The 16,491-nt window shown below is 44.0% G+C and overlaps 2 protein-coding genes across 8 annotated transcripts in view; both read left to right on the top strand.

Annotated features, from left to right (window-relative positions):
* CRYZL2P-SEC16B (CRYZL2P-SEC16B readthrough) overlaps window positions 1-16,491 on the top strand; it is a 109,189-nt gene that overhangs the window by 80,179 nt on the left and 12,519 nt on the right. For 2 of the 3 annotated variants that reach the window (NM_001356506.2, NM_001356505.2), the window contains 6 exons: window positions 3,422-3,519; window positions 5,803-5,884; window positions 9,856-9,973; window positions 11,267-11,378; window positions 13,132-13,237; window positions 15,758-15,898. In NM_001356506.2, the coding sequence (NP_001343435.1) occupies window positions 3,422-3,519; window positions 5,803-5,884; window positions 9,856-9,973; window positions 11,267-11,378; window positions 13,132-13,237; window positions 15,758-15,898 (657 nt within the window). Of the gene's footprint in view, window positions 1-3,421; window positions 3,520-5,802; window positions 5,885-9,855; window positions 9,974-11,266; window positions 12,464-13,131; window positions 13,238-15,757; window positions 15,899-16,491 lie in introns of those variants that run through there. The other variant, NR_151492.2, reaches the window with a different exon arrangement.
* SEC16B (SEC16 homolog B, endoplasmic reticulum export factor) overlaps window positions 1-16,491 on the top strand; it is a 55,497-nt gene that overhangs the window by 26,487 nt on the left and 12,519 nt on the right. For 4 of the 5 annotated variants that reach the window (NM_001390835.1, NM_001390833.1, NM_033127.4 and 1 more), the window contains exons 11-16: window positions 3,422-3,519; window positions 5,803-5,884; window positions 9,856-9,973; window positions 11,267-11,378; window positions 13,132-13,237; window positions 15,758-15,898. In NM_001390835.1, the coding sequence (NP_001377764.1) occupies window positions 3,422-3,519; window positions 5,803-5,884; window positions 9,856-9,973; window positions 11,267-11,378; window positions 13,132-13,237; window positions 15,758-15,898 (657 nt within the window). Of the gene's footprint in view, window positions 1-3,421; window positions 3,520-5,802; window positions 5,885-9,855; window positions 9,974-11,266; window positions 12,464-13,131; window positions 13,238-15,757; window positions 15,899-16,491 lie in introns of those variants that run through there. The other variant, NM_001356499.2, reaches the window with a different exon arrangement.

Raw genomic sequence — 16,491 nt, 5'->3', positions numbered from 1 at the left:
GAGGGTGGGTGGGTTAATGGGTGCAAAAAAAAGTTAGAATGAATAAGACTTAGTATTTGATAGCACAAAAGGGGAACTATAGTCCATAATAGCTTAATTGTACATTTAAAGATAACTAAAAGAGTATAATTGGGTTGTTTGTAACACAAAGGATAAAGGCTTGAGGGGATGGATGCCCCATTTATCAGGATGTGATTATTATACATTGCATGCCTGTACCAAAATATCTCATATTTTTTACTCCATAAATATATATACCTACTATGTACTCATACAAATTAAAAATAAAAAAGATAATACCTGTTAACATTTTGATACATTTACTTCCAGCATTTTCCCATGCATATATATTAAAAAGAAAATAAAATTGCATATACAGTTGTTTATTTCTCTTTTTAAACTTAAGATGATATGGTAAAATACCCTCATGGCATTATATATACCCCAATAGCGCCATTTAAAAAATAGTTATACAATATTCCATCATATTAATGTATCATATTTTATTTATCTATTCTACTATTATTGAATATTTAGACTATTTATAATTTTGTCAACCACTATAAATTATACCATTTACACATCTTGTTACATAAGTCTTTGCCTGATCTTTTAAATTTTTTAGGGCAGATTCCTAGAAGTGGAATTATTGGGTATATAAAGGGCATGCACTTTTAAAAGGTTCTTTATATATACACCAAATTAATTTCCAGGAAGTTTGTTTACAAATACTCCTGCTGCTATATCTAAGGCTTCCTATCAATATTGAATATAGATGCTCCATGACTTACAATGTTTACATCCCAATAAACCCATCATTAAATAGAAAATATCATAAGTTAAAAATGCATTTGATACACCTAACCCGACATCATAACTTAGCCTAGCCTACCTCAAATGTGCTCAGAATGTTTACCATAACCCACAAAATCATCTAAGCCAGAGTCTGTTTTATAATAAGGTGCTAAATATCTCATATAATTTATTGAATATGCTACTGAAAGTGAAAAACAGAATGGTTGTATGGGCACTTGAATTACAGTTTCTACCGAATGTGTATTGATTTCACAGCATTGTAAAGTCAAAAACTCATAAAGCAGGGACTGTCTGTACTTTAAACAGATGAAGATTGATTTCTAGCTTAATTTTGAAGTTGAGATTATGCTTTACAAAATTCATAAAAATTTAAGTATTTGGATAGATAATTAAAATCAATTTGAATCAATTTAATTCAAAAATTAAAATATAAAAAAGATATACTTGGGAAATGATGCTCCCACCCCCTAGTCACCCAGTTTTCCTCTCAGAAATATCCAGAGAAATTTTATGCATATATTGTTATTTTCTCTTTTCTAAAAAATAGCATGCTGTATACCATTTCTGTACCTTCCCTTTTTGATTTTACAAAATACCTCAGAAAACACTCTATATTAGAGTTGCCGAACTTTTTCTATAATTGGACAGATGTAAAAAATGTAAAATGTAAACATTTTACATTTTGCAAGCCATGGGGTCTCTATTACAACTACTCAGGTCTGCCCTTATAGTGTGAAAGCAGCCACAGAAAATATGTAAATGAATGGAGGTGGCCGTGTTTCAGTAAACTTCATTTTGGATATAGAAATTTGAGTTACCATATAATTATAATGCATAATGAAATTAAAAAAAAATTTTTTCCAATCACTTAAAAAGGTAATAACTATTCTGAGGCTATGGCCAGTACCAAAATAGGCAGTGTGCTGGATTTGGCCTTTAGGCCATATTTTGCTGACCTCTGCTCTATAGCCTATATAAATGCCTTTCTCATTATTTCTTATGTTGGCATAGTTTTCTACTGATAAATTATAATTAATTTAACTAAACCCCCTATAGCTTGACATTAAGAGTACTTCCAATCTTTTGCAATTACAATGTTGCAATGAATAATCACTGTCATTTTGCCCACTGTGAGAGAATATATGTAAGATAAATTTCCAGAGGCAGAAGTGTTGGGTCAAAGGATATAGTTTATGATTTTGATAGATATTGACAAATGGCCTTTTAGAGATTGTGCCAATTCACTCTACCAGCAATGCAAAAGAGTGCCTGTTTTCATACATTCTCACCACAGTGTGTTTCAAACTCTTTGATAGGTGCCAATCTGAGAAGTGAAAAAATGCTGGGCGTGGTGGCTCACGCCTGTAATCCCAGCACTTTGGGAGGTGGGCGGATCACTTGAGGCCAGGAGTTTTGAGACCAGCCTGGGTGACATGGAGAAACCCCGTCTCTACAAAAAATACAAAAATTAGCCAGGCATGATGGCATGGCCTGTAGTCCCAGCTACTTGGGAGGCTGAGGCATGAGAATCACTTAAACCTGGGAAGTGGAGGTTGCAGTGAGCTGAGATCATGCCACTGCACTCCAACCTGGGCAACAGAGAGACACTGTCTCAAAAGAAAAAATTATCAGCTAATTTAAATTTTTTTTGTAGATATGGGGTCTTGCTATGTTGCCAGGGCTGGTCTCAAACTCCTGGGCTCAAGTGATCCTCTCCCTCCACCTCCCAAAGTGTAGGGATTACAGGTGTGAGCCACCGCACCGGGCCTGCATTTCTCTTATTGAAATGAATACATTCAATTCAATTCAATTCAAAATGCATTCAATGAAGTTGAATATTTTTTAATCTGTGAATTTTTTTGTCATTGATTTTCTGCATTTTTCTATTGAGGCTTTGATCCTCACTTATTGATTTGTTGGAGCTCTTTTTGTTTTTAGGGCTTTCTGTGCAAAATTGTAAGTTTCTGGGGGTCATATTTAGAAAGGCTTTTTCTACTTCAAAATTAATTTATAAAAATGAAGTTGAAGTACTTTTGTGATTCATTTTTACATTTAAATATTTAATTTCTTGTTTTTGTATATGACGCTTTTATTTTTTTAATTGACAAAAATTGTATATATTTGTGGTATACGACATGATATATATGTATATATACACACACACTGTGGAATGGCTAAATGGAGCTAGTTAACATATGTGTTACCTCACATATTTATCATGTTTTTTCTAATGAGAACACTTAAAATCTCCTCTCTTAGTGATTTTCAAGTGTACTATACATTGGTATTTACTGTAGTCATGATGTTCAAGTGCTACGAAACTTTTGCTAAAGAGATGAGGCTAACTGGCAACCATGTCTGATGGGAAGATGATGGAATAGCACAGTGGATTTTGATAAAGTGAAGGCTGGTGAAGGTGACATCCTAGAGAAAAATACTGTGCTAGCTACAGTCTGCTTCCTGGCTGTTCACATTCTTATATGAGGCTCTAAGAGTTTTCTGGAAGCCTAGCCTCTGCTGCTCAGGATGCAGCAGCACCTAAGCACAGGAACTTGTGAGTGGAAGGTGGGAAAGGCACTCTTGAATGTGATGTTTTGGTTTTCAGGAAGCCTTGGAGTGGGCCATGAAGAACCACTTGTGGGGCCATGCTTTGTTCCTGTCCAGCAAGATGGACCCACAGACCTACAGCTGGGTCATGAGTGGGTGAGTCAGGACTTAACAAAAGAGGCCAGTGGGGCAGAGAGGCCTCCTCACCAAAGGTGGAGGATGAGGGTGTGGAGAAATGTCAGACGCGCTAAGGAGACTCACACTCCAGGGATCTTTCCATGTTCTCTTTTCTGAGCTGGACATAGCATTTCTCTGTTTTAGACACAGATACATTCTTTCTACCTGCTAAATTGGATAAAAAATTTTAGTACAATTGCCCAGAGTGAGACTTTCCAAAAATTAAGTAGGTTTTTACATTGCAGTAGCCTTCTTTCTTTGGGAGGGGCTGTTCCAGCTAGTTCTGGTAATGAGGGGTAGCGATCACTTCCTTAGAGCCTTGGGACTGTGGGTCTTTGACGTAAGCAGTTGTCTACTGCTTATTCTTGTGATGAGGTTCTGGATACTGAGAGTAGGGTGGGGGTGTGGGGTAGCAGGGTCGTGAGCTGTGGTAGGAAAAGGAGTTTTAGCACTGGCAGTGAGATCCAGAAGTCTGCATTGGCGGCAGTGGGAGGTGTTGAGACTGAAGGGATATGCTTAGTCAGAAATGACGCCAGCACACTGTGATCTGGGTGCCAGCGTGGACCAGGAAAAATGCCCAAACCAGAATGAGCTAGGGATGGAAGCAAGGATCCATAGCCAGGAGTTTGGAATAAGGAGATGAAACAGAGTGAAAGAGAGCCAGGATCAAATGGAGGTGGCGGGTATAGGGGTGCTGGATGGAGAAGGGTTTCTGAATAAGTCCTTCAGGCTCCGCCTAGCATCCACAGGTTGGCAGGGACAAATGTGGTGGGGGTGGTGAGGGACCCTCCTTTAAGGGGCAGACTTGGGTCAGACAGCAAGAAAGATGCTACCTCAAAGTGTTTAGCTTCTAGTGCTGGTTAAAGCTGTGAAGCTATCCTCTCAGCTGAACTAATATTTGAATTGGCCATTAATCCTGTTGAGTAGAGGTTGAATTAGAAGATGACACTTCCACTGGGTGTGGTGGCTCATGCCTGTAATGCCAGCATTTTGGGTGGCTGAGGAGGGTGGATCACCTGAGGTTAAGAGTCCAAGACCAGCTTGGCCAACATGGTGAAACCCCGTCTCTACTAAAAATACAAATATTAGCCAGGTGTGGTGGCTGGCACCTGTAATCCCAGCTACTCTGGAAGCTGAGGCAGGAGAATCGCTTGAACCTGGGAGGTGGAGGTTGCAGTGAGCAGAGATCACATCGTTGCACTCCAGCCTGGGTGACAAGAGCAAAACTCGGTCTCAAAAAAAAAAAAAAAAAAATGACACTTCCATGTTAAGTTCAGTCCGGGGGCCTAATGGCTGCACCACTGGTGGGCCCATTCTGGATGATGGCCTAGTTGAGTCTCATGACGACTCCACCCCTCAGTCTTCCTGGAGACTGGTGACACCACGGTGCACTTTATTATCCTCTGAGACTGGAATGGTGAGGAACACAGAAATTGTATTGTGATACGTGCTCGGAGCTCCTGTGGCAAGGGTGCTGTTAAATAAAGGACGGTGTTCTGAGGATGATTTTCCTTTGGGCTTTGAAAATGAACGTCCCACAGCCCCACATTGTAGCATACATCTCTGCTACAGATTTTTGCCTTGGGCCATTGATTTTTGATGGAGCCCAGTGAATTGTGAAAAATACCTCTCACTGAGTAAGCTTAAATCTCAAATCAGCCGTAGAGCTTATTATATCCTTGTTAAGCATATCCCATGGTTTGTCATCAGCAGGATCATTTCTGGCCCCTGTTCCACGCCTCTTTGGTTACTGAAAATGGCTATTTAGCGCTTGTGAGCAAAAGCACTACAGACCCAGGCTCTTGATGAGCCAGAAAAACGGCACTGAGTGCTGTGGGCTTGGCGTGGAGGAGGGCTGCAGGGAGTGGGAGATCGGGATGGCTGAGAAGGGGGGTGCCGATGGAGAAGAGCTTCCAGATAAACTGCTGTGGCTCTCCAGGGGACCTTTGAGATGTCAGAGGGTCATCTCAGTGATGGAAGAAGGCCCACAGAAATGGTTATTCCAGAGTTAGGCCATCAAGACCAAGGTGCAGAAAATACCCTCAACTATGAGATCTAGCTGGGGTGTGCGGTAGAATGAGGATCCTGCCATCTCTCCCCAGAGGAGGCTGTGACAGAGGCACAGCAGAAAGCAAAGCGATGCTCATGTTCCTAAGGAAGCTGCCAAAATCTAATAGAATTATGCAAGGCCCTGAGCCTTGTGGGCAATGGGTAAAGAGGTTCCCTGGGCTTGGTCCTCGCTGACTATCCTTCTCTCCGCAGCTTCACCAGCACGCTGGCGCTCAATGACCCACTGCAGACCCTCTTCCAGCTCATGTCGGGGAGGATTCCACAGGCAGCCACGGTACCCCTATGACAGGATTCCTTTATCACCCAGGCATCCCAAGGGCTTGAGGGGGCGGGGACTGCTCAGGAGTGCACTGATGGCTTTCAGGAGCAAAAGTGATGATAATATTAATGGTTTGTTAATCACCATGTGCCAGGCCCTGTGCTAAGTGCTTTGATGCATATTATTTGGTTTAATGCATAGAGGTAGGAAACATTCTTTCTGCTTTGCAGATGTGGAAACTGAGCTCCAAAGGTGTAAGATGACCCAAGATCAGAGATAGTGAGTAGTGGGGTCAGGATCTGTCCAGGTCTGTCTGACTCTGAAGACCTTGGCCTTCCCAAAATGTCAAAGCTGCCTGCTCTGCTGTGAATGGCAAGAGGACCTGTGCCTGTTCTGCAGGCTTCCCCTGGCAGGGCTGCCCTTCTTTTCTCTGGAGGAATGTTTCCCACCACTGCACACTGGCACTTCAAAGCTGGACATACTCGATTTCAATCTTCTAGAGTTGATGTGGCTGAGAGTCTGAGGCTAGCTTGATAGTTTTCCCATTATAGGAGACTTGATCTTTTGGCCCCAAAGTATTCCTTCCTTACCTTTGACGTCCAGTCACTTTACTAGATTATGCTCTGGTGTTGACTGTCTGGATCGATTTTTTTCCTTGGGGTATATATAGCATGCCCTTTTAATATGTACATTCATATGTTAGAGTTCAGGGATATTTTCTTGGATTATATCCTTCAATATTTGTTTTGTTCCCATTATTTTGGTTTCCTTTTCAGGAATTCCATGTACACATATTTCATATATATACACGTATGAATTATATCTATAATTTTCTCTTTAATAATTTTTTATTCTCTTTTTTCCTCTCTTGCCCTCCTTTCCTTCCTTCCTTCCTCCCTCCCTCCCTCCTTTACATCCTCCCTCCCTGTCCTCCCTCCCCTCCCCTCCCTCCCTCCCTTCCTTCCTTCTTTCCTTCCCTCCTTCCCTCCCTCCCTCCTTTACATCCTCCTTTTCTTCCTTCCTTCCTTCTTTCCTTCCTTCCTCCTTCCTTCCTTCCCTCCTTTCTTTTTTCCTTCCTCTGTCCTTTACTGTGTTTTCACTGGTGTCTCTTACTTTTGTGCTCTTTTGTTTCTGTCTTTATTTCTTCAATTTCCCCCTACTTTTTTCCTGAGCTCTGAACATTACATTCATTTCCTGTTATCTACCATCTATTTCCTGAGCTCTAGTAACTCAGATTATGCTCTTGCTTCATAGATGCAATTGCTTCATTATTTTACTTAAATTCATGACAAAATGTTTGGTGATAATTTTTCATTTGTTTTGTGGTAACATTTTTGTAGTGAATGTTCTCTCTCCTCTCTATTTTTCATGTTACCTTCCTCTTTCTGTCTTAGGGTGTATTTGTATACATTCTGTGCTTGTTTTCTCATATTACATAACTTTAAAGGAGTTGACTCTTCCCTGGATTTTTATTTCCAGTTATTTATATTAGGTTTGTGCAGAGGATGGGCCAGGCCATATTCCAGGCCATCCGACATTTTCTGCAGGACCCAGTTTTCCATGTGAGCCTGAGTTGCCTTTGCTGCTCTCCAGCCAGTGGGGAGAGCTGTGGGGTCCTCTCCCTCGTGTCCTCTTGGCTTCCCGGGACATGGAGGCACGTCTGTCCAATCTCCATTACTTTTGGTAATGGAGCCTTTTCTCGTATCTTGAGGCTTGGGTTTTTGGTGAACACTAGTTTAAATAAAAATCGACCTCACACTTTTCATTTTTTTTTTTTATCCTTCTTATGGCTTGTGGCTAATTCCAAGAAAAGAGAAATGATTTTCATGCCCCATCATCAAATCAACCGGCTATTTTGTAGCACAGAGTGTGCCTCACAATTCAGTGGAATGGCCTGTGCTCCAGAATGGAATTGCATTATGTCACAAAGTACTAAATGCAGGAAATGATACAATTAGCTATGGTTCATTTTTTTTTTTTGTAATAGTAGAGTTAGCTTAATTTCCCCTATTTTTAGATGAGAAAACGGAGGAGCCAGAGGTGATGTGCCAATGCAGTATTTGATCTTAGGGAGTTTCCCAGCACTTTAGCATCTACTAAAAGGCTGGACTTCAGTTCCATGTGATGAATGGGGTGGTGGAAAAGCATGGCAACAGGACAACACAGACGTGGGTTTCACACAAGTTTAACCTGGACTCTATGTACATCTTTCTGCCAGGGGAACTTGGCTTTGTGTCTTAATTTCACAGAGCCTCAGTTTTTAATCTTTATGGGGATTTTGGTGCCCAGTAGAGTTATTGTGAAAATTAAGGGAGAGAGAACATCTGAACATATCAACCATCATGCTTGGCCCATTTTCGTTAATTAATAAATGTTGGTGCTTTCTCTCTCTCTCTCTCTCTCTACTGTGTCCCCTCCGCCTCTCCATTGATCTGATTTATAGTGATCTTTTCAAATCACCAGCGAGGAGACAGAATAATGACCTCTAAGTTTTTCTTTGTGTGTGTGTGTGTGTGTGTGTGTGTGTGTGTGTGTGTGTGTGTGTTTAGCAAGGGATTTCCTTCCCTTTTGCTGGTTTCTGTAGATCCAGCAAGAAGCAGTTTGGCTTACATGTTAAAATGCAGGTCATAATAGGACTTAGCACATGTGATTATTGGTAGGAGAAATGCTTAGCACAGGATATAGTTCATGGTTCGATGTGACACATGAGAACTGCTATTATTATGATTTATCATCACCATTATTGTTATCATCCTCTTCTCACTGCATTGACCAGATCAACAAGGACTGGGTATAAAATGGAGTTGAATAAAGCATCTTTTATTCCCTGGGATAATTACAAAGACCAAGTAATTATGAATGGTTTTAACTCCAAATCTTAGTTATTATTGGCAATCTTCTGCCCTACCTATCTATATAACAAATTGGAAGGTAGGCGGCTATGCAAATCACCTCTTTCCTCTGCTGAGCTTCCAACTGTGTGTGTGTGTGTGTGTGTGTGTGTGTATTTATACCTACATGTAATTGATTAAGTGCAAACCAAATGTGAAGCACCATGCGATGTGCTTTACACAACTATCTTATTTTATTATCAACAATAACCTGTTAGGTAGAAATTACGATCTCCATTTTAGGGATGAGAAAACAAAGGTTCAGAGACATTAAGAAACTTGCTCAAGGTAGGTAAGCTAGTAAGATGCAGGACTCGAGTTGGGGCCTGTGTTGTTTCCATGACATTATATTGTTTCTTTATTGATATTTTCTGCCTTGAAATTCTCCTTTATTTAGTAGGACAGCCTTAGGGAGAGATTGTGGGGAAAACACCATTGATGCGGGGCTTTGTACATTTCCACCACGCTGCTTACTCTTTTTTGCCCCCTGGTGGAATTCTGCTGCCTCTGCATCGTCCTAGCTGGGCCACTTGGCTTGATTTTCTTATTCTTAAAGTGGCAGTAGGAACTAGACTTCATAGGGTTCCTGTGAAGATTAAGAGGATGTGTGTGAATGGGCTTTGTAGAGCCAGAAAACATAGGCATTTGGTAAGACATTAAGCAGGCCCGTGTTCCCCCGACTTCTGTGACAGGCTGTGGCCTCTTCTACTCATAAGCCAAGGATGTTTGATCTTCCTTCTCCCACTGAAGCCTCAGGGTTTTTCTGAGTTTTGTCTCTAGCTATCTGGGGGTCAGGCACTGGGGAGAAATGTGAAAAATAGTAAGTGAGCAATGTCATTTTATTTATCCATTTTCCAATATCCCTGTGAATGTATGTATGTATGTATGCATGTACACGTATCTGTCTATCTGTGTCCTTCTGACAGTTTTACTTTTTTAAAGATGAGAGCTCTAAATCAATGAATGGCAGCATTGCAGGTGGTAGAGTGGGCATTCTCTGACCACTTCTGAACCAGGAAATAGACAACAGCCTTCTTTATGTACATCTGGCCATTCTTAAATGATTGTACATTTATTTTTTCTGGTGCTTTTCAGTGTTGTGGAGAAAAGCAGTGGGGAGACTGGAGGCCTCACTTGGCTGTGATTCTGTCGAATCAGGCTGGGGACCCAGAGCTGTATCAGCGTGCGATTGTTGCCATTGGGGACACCCTGGGTAAGCGACACCAGCATTTCCCCTCCGCTCCCCTCCCTGTCCCTTCCCTCCCCTCCCCTCCCTGTCCCTTTCCTCACCTCCCCTCCCCGTCCCTCTCCTCACCTCCCCTCCCTCTCCTCACCTCCCCTCCCCGTCCAGGTCAGCTTTAAACATCCTGCCCTTAGATTCTCAGGTTCTAGGTAGGGCCAGAGTCTATGCCCTAGGCTTTTCCTGGACCCAGGAGCCTCCATGTTTTGGGGAAAGAAACTCCAGGGAAACACGTGTCCTTCTTGCCTCTCTGTTTCACAGAATTTCTGCCGTGAGTGAATGCAGGCCAGGCCCCTGAGACTTGGTGTTCTGCTGCTGTAGGAGTCTCCTCTCAGCAGCTGATTTTCTAGCCCTGGGTCAGATTCCCCTGTGGATGGAGTTAACGCATAGGACACCTTGCCTCCTGTTGCTGTAAATTTCTCAGTGACCCAGTTCAATCAGATAGGAAATTCTGTTTTTGCCTGAACCACTCTGGGTTAACCCTGTAGTCTTTCTTGCTATCATCTCTCTGTGAATGTGGCCTTATAAACGCTTAGGGGGCTATTGAGTGTTCCAGATCAGTGGTTCTCAAATTTAGCCAAGAAGCAGAGCATCCAGAAATCATGGTGCTCCCATGAGGCTTTTTAAAATATTGCTCTGTTAAACTTTAATAGCTATGGGTTAGGTTGTGCCAAGTCAGATGGAGGCCATGCAGCACCCTGAGTGGAAGGGAACTAATGTTTGTTGAGCCCTTCTTGGGGGCCAGGCACTGTGCTAGGTATTGTATCTAGCTGAATTAACTCAATTTTGAGGCAGTGGAAAATGTATGGGAGAACATTTCAAAACATGTTGGTAATTAATATGATTTTTATGTTTGACTTCAGCAGGGAAAGCAATGCTGCCTCAGGAAGCCTAGTTTAAGAACGACCACTCTCAGTAGTCTCCTTCTTTGCTCAGGTGCAGGCATTTCAAACTCATTTTTCACCCTGAGGAAAGACTAAAACGTTTAGGGAATTCCTCGTAAAAAGTCCTTTAGGGAGAACGTGAAATTGTGCCTTATTCTGGCTGAAGAGAAATGTAACGTCTGAGGCCAAATGGGCTGTGGGAGGAGGAGTGGGGTTTAGGGGTCTGTGACTCACGCTATGAAAGGCTCATTCATTTAGTCCCATGTGGCTTCTCCCCTCTGACCCCCGAGGCCACTCTTCCATCTGTCTCCCATCCCACCCAGATGATGGCTCCCCATACGGGTGTGCTCCGTGATTGGGTCTTGTTCTCTTCCTCCCGCAGCTGGGAAGGGGCTTGTGGAGGCAGCTCACTTCTGCTATCTCATGGCTCACGTGCCCTTTGGCCACTACACCGTGAAGACAGACCATCTGGTCTTGCTGGGCAGCAGCCACAGGTATGCGACCTGGGAGAAAGGAAACAGTAAGGACATTTTCCAAGGGACTGTTTTAGCCCTTGTTGGGTTTTATGGATCCATTTTTCATTTTCTCATGTGAATTTCAGCTACCGCCGGCTCCCTTATTTGGGATTGTTATCTGTGCAGGTCTGTGCAAGGAGATGCCCCGTGGGCCCCACATTACAGCATTGGCGGGGGCCTCAGGCCACAGGTCCTCCTCTGCAAAGAGGTGGGCTGATGCCTTTGTGTGGTATTGTGCCCTTTGGCCACTGGGTGGCACCCTGGCTCCACAAGCTAACTTTGTTCCTTTAAAAAAACAACATTTTACATGTGGAGGCTTGTGGGTCCGTGTTAGGCAGCCCTGGGCCTGTTCTGAGAGCCTACCCAGGCAAAACTGGAAAATGGAAGAAGTTTATGTTTAGTCCCTCTTTGGGGCCCTAGCATCCCTACAATGACTTGGTGCACAAGCTACTTAGAGTCCCACTGGTGACATTCTCTGTTGGCCATAGCATTAGGCTTTTCCTGCAGGAGGCCCTCAATCAGCTCTCAGTGAATGAATGCATGGACAGAACGATTTGCTCCCTAGAGGCCCTCCCTGTTCTGTATCTCTCTATCCCCCTCCCCATACGTGTTAAGAGTCACTAAGCTCTTACGTTGTGCCAGGCATTTTCTTTGCACTATTTCCTTTAATTATTACACATTTACCCTATGAAGAAGTGAAGTGAAGCAAAGATTTTAATCGTCACTTATGGAGGAGGAAAACCAAGGCACAGGGAGATGAAATAACTTGTCTCAGATGGTACAGTGAGGGTGTGGGTGAGTTGGATTCGGAATCCAGGCAGTCAGCCTGCAAAGCCCTTTTAACTGTTGCACCACACTGCCTACCACTGAGGCAGTGTACCCAGCTCATTGCCTGTTCCTTCCAGGTTCCTGGTCTCTGATAGCACATGGCTAGCTTGTCAAAGAATCCCTTCTGTGCCAAATGTACAATAAGTGTGTATGGGCTAATATGTCTCCCCTCCTATGTTTACGTTGGTTTATGTTGAATGAGGAAATTCTTGGAAATAAAGTCCTACCCCCAGGAATAACCTGGTGATTGTGGTTTTTAAACACCATAGCAAGTTGTTGATGGGAGAAATTTTGGGTCACATGAGACTCTTGTGCCCACCACCTGCCCCAACCAGATCACATTCACTCAGTCCCCATCCTCACTGGTGGAATGAACATCCAATGTATGGACCCGTGTTTGATTTCTGGCTCAGCAGTCCTCACCTGCTCTGCCATGCCTTTTGGTCTCAGTGCTCCCGGAGTGTTACATGGCTCCCCTCTTTTGTGCGAGTTTGCTCAAACTAGGGGTGCCCTTCACAGGTACATGACAGGCTTTATGGGCATGGGGGCCAGCTCTCTGTGTGTCTAAGAGTAGGGCCCAGTGTCCTTCGAGGTAGCCTGCCTTGAGTTACCCTTCAGCAAGAAGGCAGGTGACCCCCCTTTTCTGCAGCCTCCGCCTCCCAGTGCCTCTGGTGCAGAGTTCTGTTTTGTTCCTTCCTCAGCCTCAAGGAGGGAGAGGGAGAGGAAGTGAAACACTCACTCTGGGAGCCCAGAGTCTCCTTCTTCTCTTGAAGCCGCCGCAGGCATCAGCCCAGGATGGAAACTCCCCCATGAAAGGCTGCAGCTGGTGTTTGGAGAGCCACTAGGATTTAACTCCTGCGTCCCCCACACCTCAATCTCTTTTATTGTTATTCTCTGGTTTTAGTCAAGAGTTTTTGAAATTTGCAACAACTGAGGCAATCCAGAGGACGGAAATCTTCGAGTACTGTCAGATGCTGGGCCGCCCCAAATCCTTCATCCCTTCTTTCCAGGTAACTGAGCCCAGATGAGGCCACCACCGTCACTGTCAGGCAGCTGCAGGCAGCTGTATTTGCAGCTTTGCTTTTTGGCACTTAGTACCTGGGGCTAAGTTATCTACTGAACTTTTCCTCATTAGCTTAAGCGTGGGAGGGTGTAGGATTTCTTTTTATGTCCCCTAAAGGTCTGTATTTTATAATATGAAGGCAAAACCTTGCAGAGGCCTCTCTGCTGGAGGCTCCTGCCTCACTGCTGATGTTTGAACGTCCTGCCTGCCGCCCCGGCCTGTGCCTCACTCCTGCTGTCAGCTCCTTCTCCCCATCTCTCCAGACAGCTCTCCCTTTCTTCTGAGCCTCCGCAGCTGTCCTGTGGGAGGGAGTGGGAGCGCAGGCCCAGCCCAGTGTCTGCTCACCCTCCCTCTGCTCCGCACTCCTTCTCCGGCCTCTTTTGAAATCCTCTGTCCTCTACCTCCGCCCTCACCCTTCTTCGTCCCACTCAGAGCATCAGCTGTGTGGGTGGTGTCCATACTGTGGTTTCCGCCCTCTTCTCAACGTTTCTACATGATGCTGTTGTCACCTTACATTCGTAAAGACCAGTGCTGACATCGTGTCCTCCTCCGTCTAAATCCTCTGTGAGCTCTGACGTCCAGCACCATCCCTTCCTCCATGCAGACTACCTGGGCCACACCTACGAGTATGACTGAGATGGCAGCCTTCAGTGGTCTCAGCTGTAAAATGGGATGAGAGTGGTGCCTTGTAATGGAGCTGGCATGAAATCGAGTTAGTTTCCTTAATGCTCGAGAACAGCGCCTGGCACACAGCAACTGCTTTCGGCGTTGACGTCATGGCAGGCACAGTGTGGCTCCCACAGCCGAATCCAGGGCCCCCCACTGACACTGAGCTCACGCTGCCTTGTGTTTTCTTGACTTTTATGCACAGGTATCTTATCTTCCTACCTTAGTTATCTTCTTTAGGTAGAGACATTTTCCAGCGATTCCTTGTTTCTCCTTCAGTGCTTGGTGTCGAGGGTACACACAGCAGCAGCAACAACAACAATTACAACAACATGCACACACAACACAAAGCCTTGAAAGTGAAATCCTGTGTCATAGAGAAATGGCCCAATTAGCTTCTTCTCTTTTTCTTTAAGTTCTGGGATGCATGTGCTGAATGTGCAGGTTTGTTACATAGGTATACATATGCCATGGTGGTTTGCTGCACCTATCAACCTGTCATCTAGGTTTTAAGCCCTGCATGCATTAGGCATTTGTCCTATAGCATCTTCTCTTTTTTAAGGGCTTTGCCAAAGACTCACCTTTTCCAGCAAAACCTTGCCCCATGAGCTCCTCTTTGCAGTTCCTCGACCGGCTCTTTGGTCTCTTTTTCTTTCCTTTCTTTATTCATCCCACCTGTCAGTTATTTTGGTGCTGCTTGGGGCTGATAGTAATGAGATTAGCTTCTGCGTGCCTGGCATTGTGGCATTACTCTTCTTGTGTATTGTTTCGAATCCTGTGAGGTAGGCATGATTAACTTCCTTTTACGAAAGAGAAAACGGAGGCCCGGAAGGGTAACATGCTATCGGCCCTCATCTCTTGCATGCGGTTTGTTCTCAGTACTTTACCTGAATTATCTCATTTAATCTCCATAACAACCAAGGGAGTAGGTAGTAGTAGTATTCCCATGTTGTAGAGAGGAAACCGAGGCACAGAGAGATGAGGTAACTAGCCCAATGTTTCACACCTCGCATGGAGCTTTTATTTGAACTTGGGTCTGTCTGATACCAAAGCCCTCACACTTGATCCTGCCCTGCCACTCATGCTTTCACGAGCGCTTACTTGTTTTTCTCAGTACTCTCCATTAGCTTGACGCCCTTTGCACTAGGGTCTAATTTTGCTTCTTTTTTTTTTTGAGACAGAGTCTCACTCTGTTGCCCAGGCTAGAGGGCAGTGGCATGATCTCGGCTCACTGGAACCTCCGCCTCCTGGGTTCAAGCAATTCTCCTGTCTCAGCCTTCCGAGTAGCTGGGACTACAGGTGCATGCCACCATGCCCAGCTAATTTTTGTATTTTTAGTAGAGACGGAGTTTTGTCATGTTGGCCAGGCTGGTCTCAAACTCCTGACCTCAAGTGATCCACCTGCGTCGGCCTCCCAAGGCATGAGCCAGCACACCTGGGCTATTTTTGCTTCTTTTAATGTCCGTCTTGTGCCTGGTGCTATGCCTCTACATCAGACTCTCTGGATATGTGGGGCTACCCAATAAATAAGGACTCCAGTGCACTTTGCATGGTGACCAGGACCTAGGAAGTTTGAGCGGATGGGACTCCTGTTCTTTTCTCTGTAATGCAGGAACTGCAGGCTGGATTTGGAGTTGTGCCCGTGCATAGATAAAATGCTCCAAATGGCACAAGCCTCTTGGTATTTGGATGCCAGAGTTAGCGGAAACTGACAGCTGACTTCCAAGAAGTCTTATCTATGTTTCTTTCTCCTTCTCTCCCTGCCTGGATGGACTAGTCACTGACTCTTTTCTCTTCACAGGTGTATAAGCTCCTTTATGCTTCCCGTCTGGCAGATTATGGCCTCGTGTCCCAGGCTTTGCATTACTGCGAAGCCATTGGTGCAGCTGTCTTGAGCCAGGGAGAGAGCAGTCACCCTGTGCTATTAGTGGAACTCATCAAGGTGAGCCTCTCAAAGGGTTCTGTGCAGTTGTTTTATCTTCACTATTCAGAGAAAGCCATCGTAGAGCAGCTTAGACTCTACATTTCATCTTCTTTGAACATGCCATAAAATTGGAGCCCACGGCCATCTTTGACCATGTATGCATGCCCAGATGCGATAAGCAGAGGCCCAACACTACACAAAGAAGGATCTTCTCTGGGCGGGTGGTGGTGGGATTGGAGACTGGAAACCATGTGTGTGTTACTCAAGAAATTCATTCTTGCATCTGCTTTTCTGGTACAGTAAAACTACATGCTACGGTGAACCATTCTAATTATAAAAGCTGGGCTTAGAAAATATATTTTAGTGATTAAAAGAGTAAATGATCCTTATTAAAATGCTTTTAAATGCATGGAATATTTTGTCACATGTGAGGTACATTTAAAATAGAAAACAAAAACATATCAACCTTTAGTTCCTAGGAAAGAAAACAACAATCAAGCAAATAGTTGTTTCAATTAATTGAAGAAAAATCCATTAGCTAGAGAGTAAAAAAGCAGCCTACCCTTAAATTTTTGCTTTGCCATAGATGAGGCCCAAGTGCTGGCTTCTTT

This window comes from Homo sapiens, chromosome 1 (genome assembly GCF_000001405.40).
Source record: "Homo sapiens chromosome 1, GRCh38.p14 Primary Assembly".
Classification (NCBI taxonomy): domain Eukaryota; kingdom Metazoa; phylum Chordata; class Mammalia; order Primates; family Hominidae; genus Homo; species Homo sapiens.
Note: the sequence above shows the minus strand (reverse complement) of the source record. Positions and strands in the feature narration are given on the sequence as shown.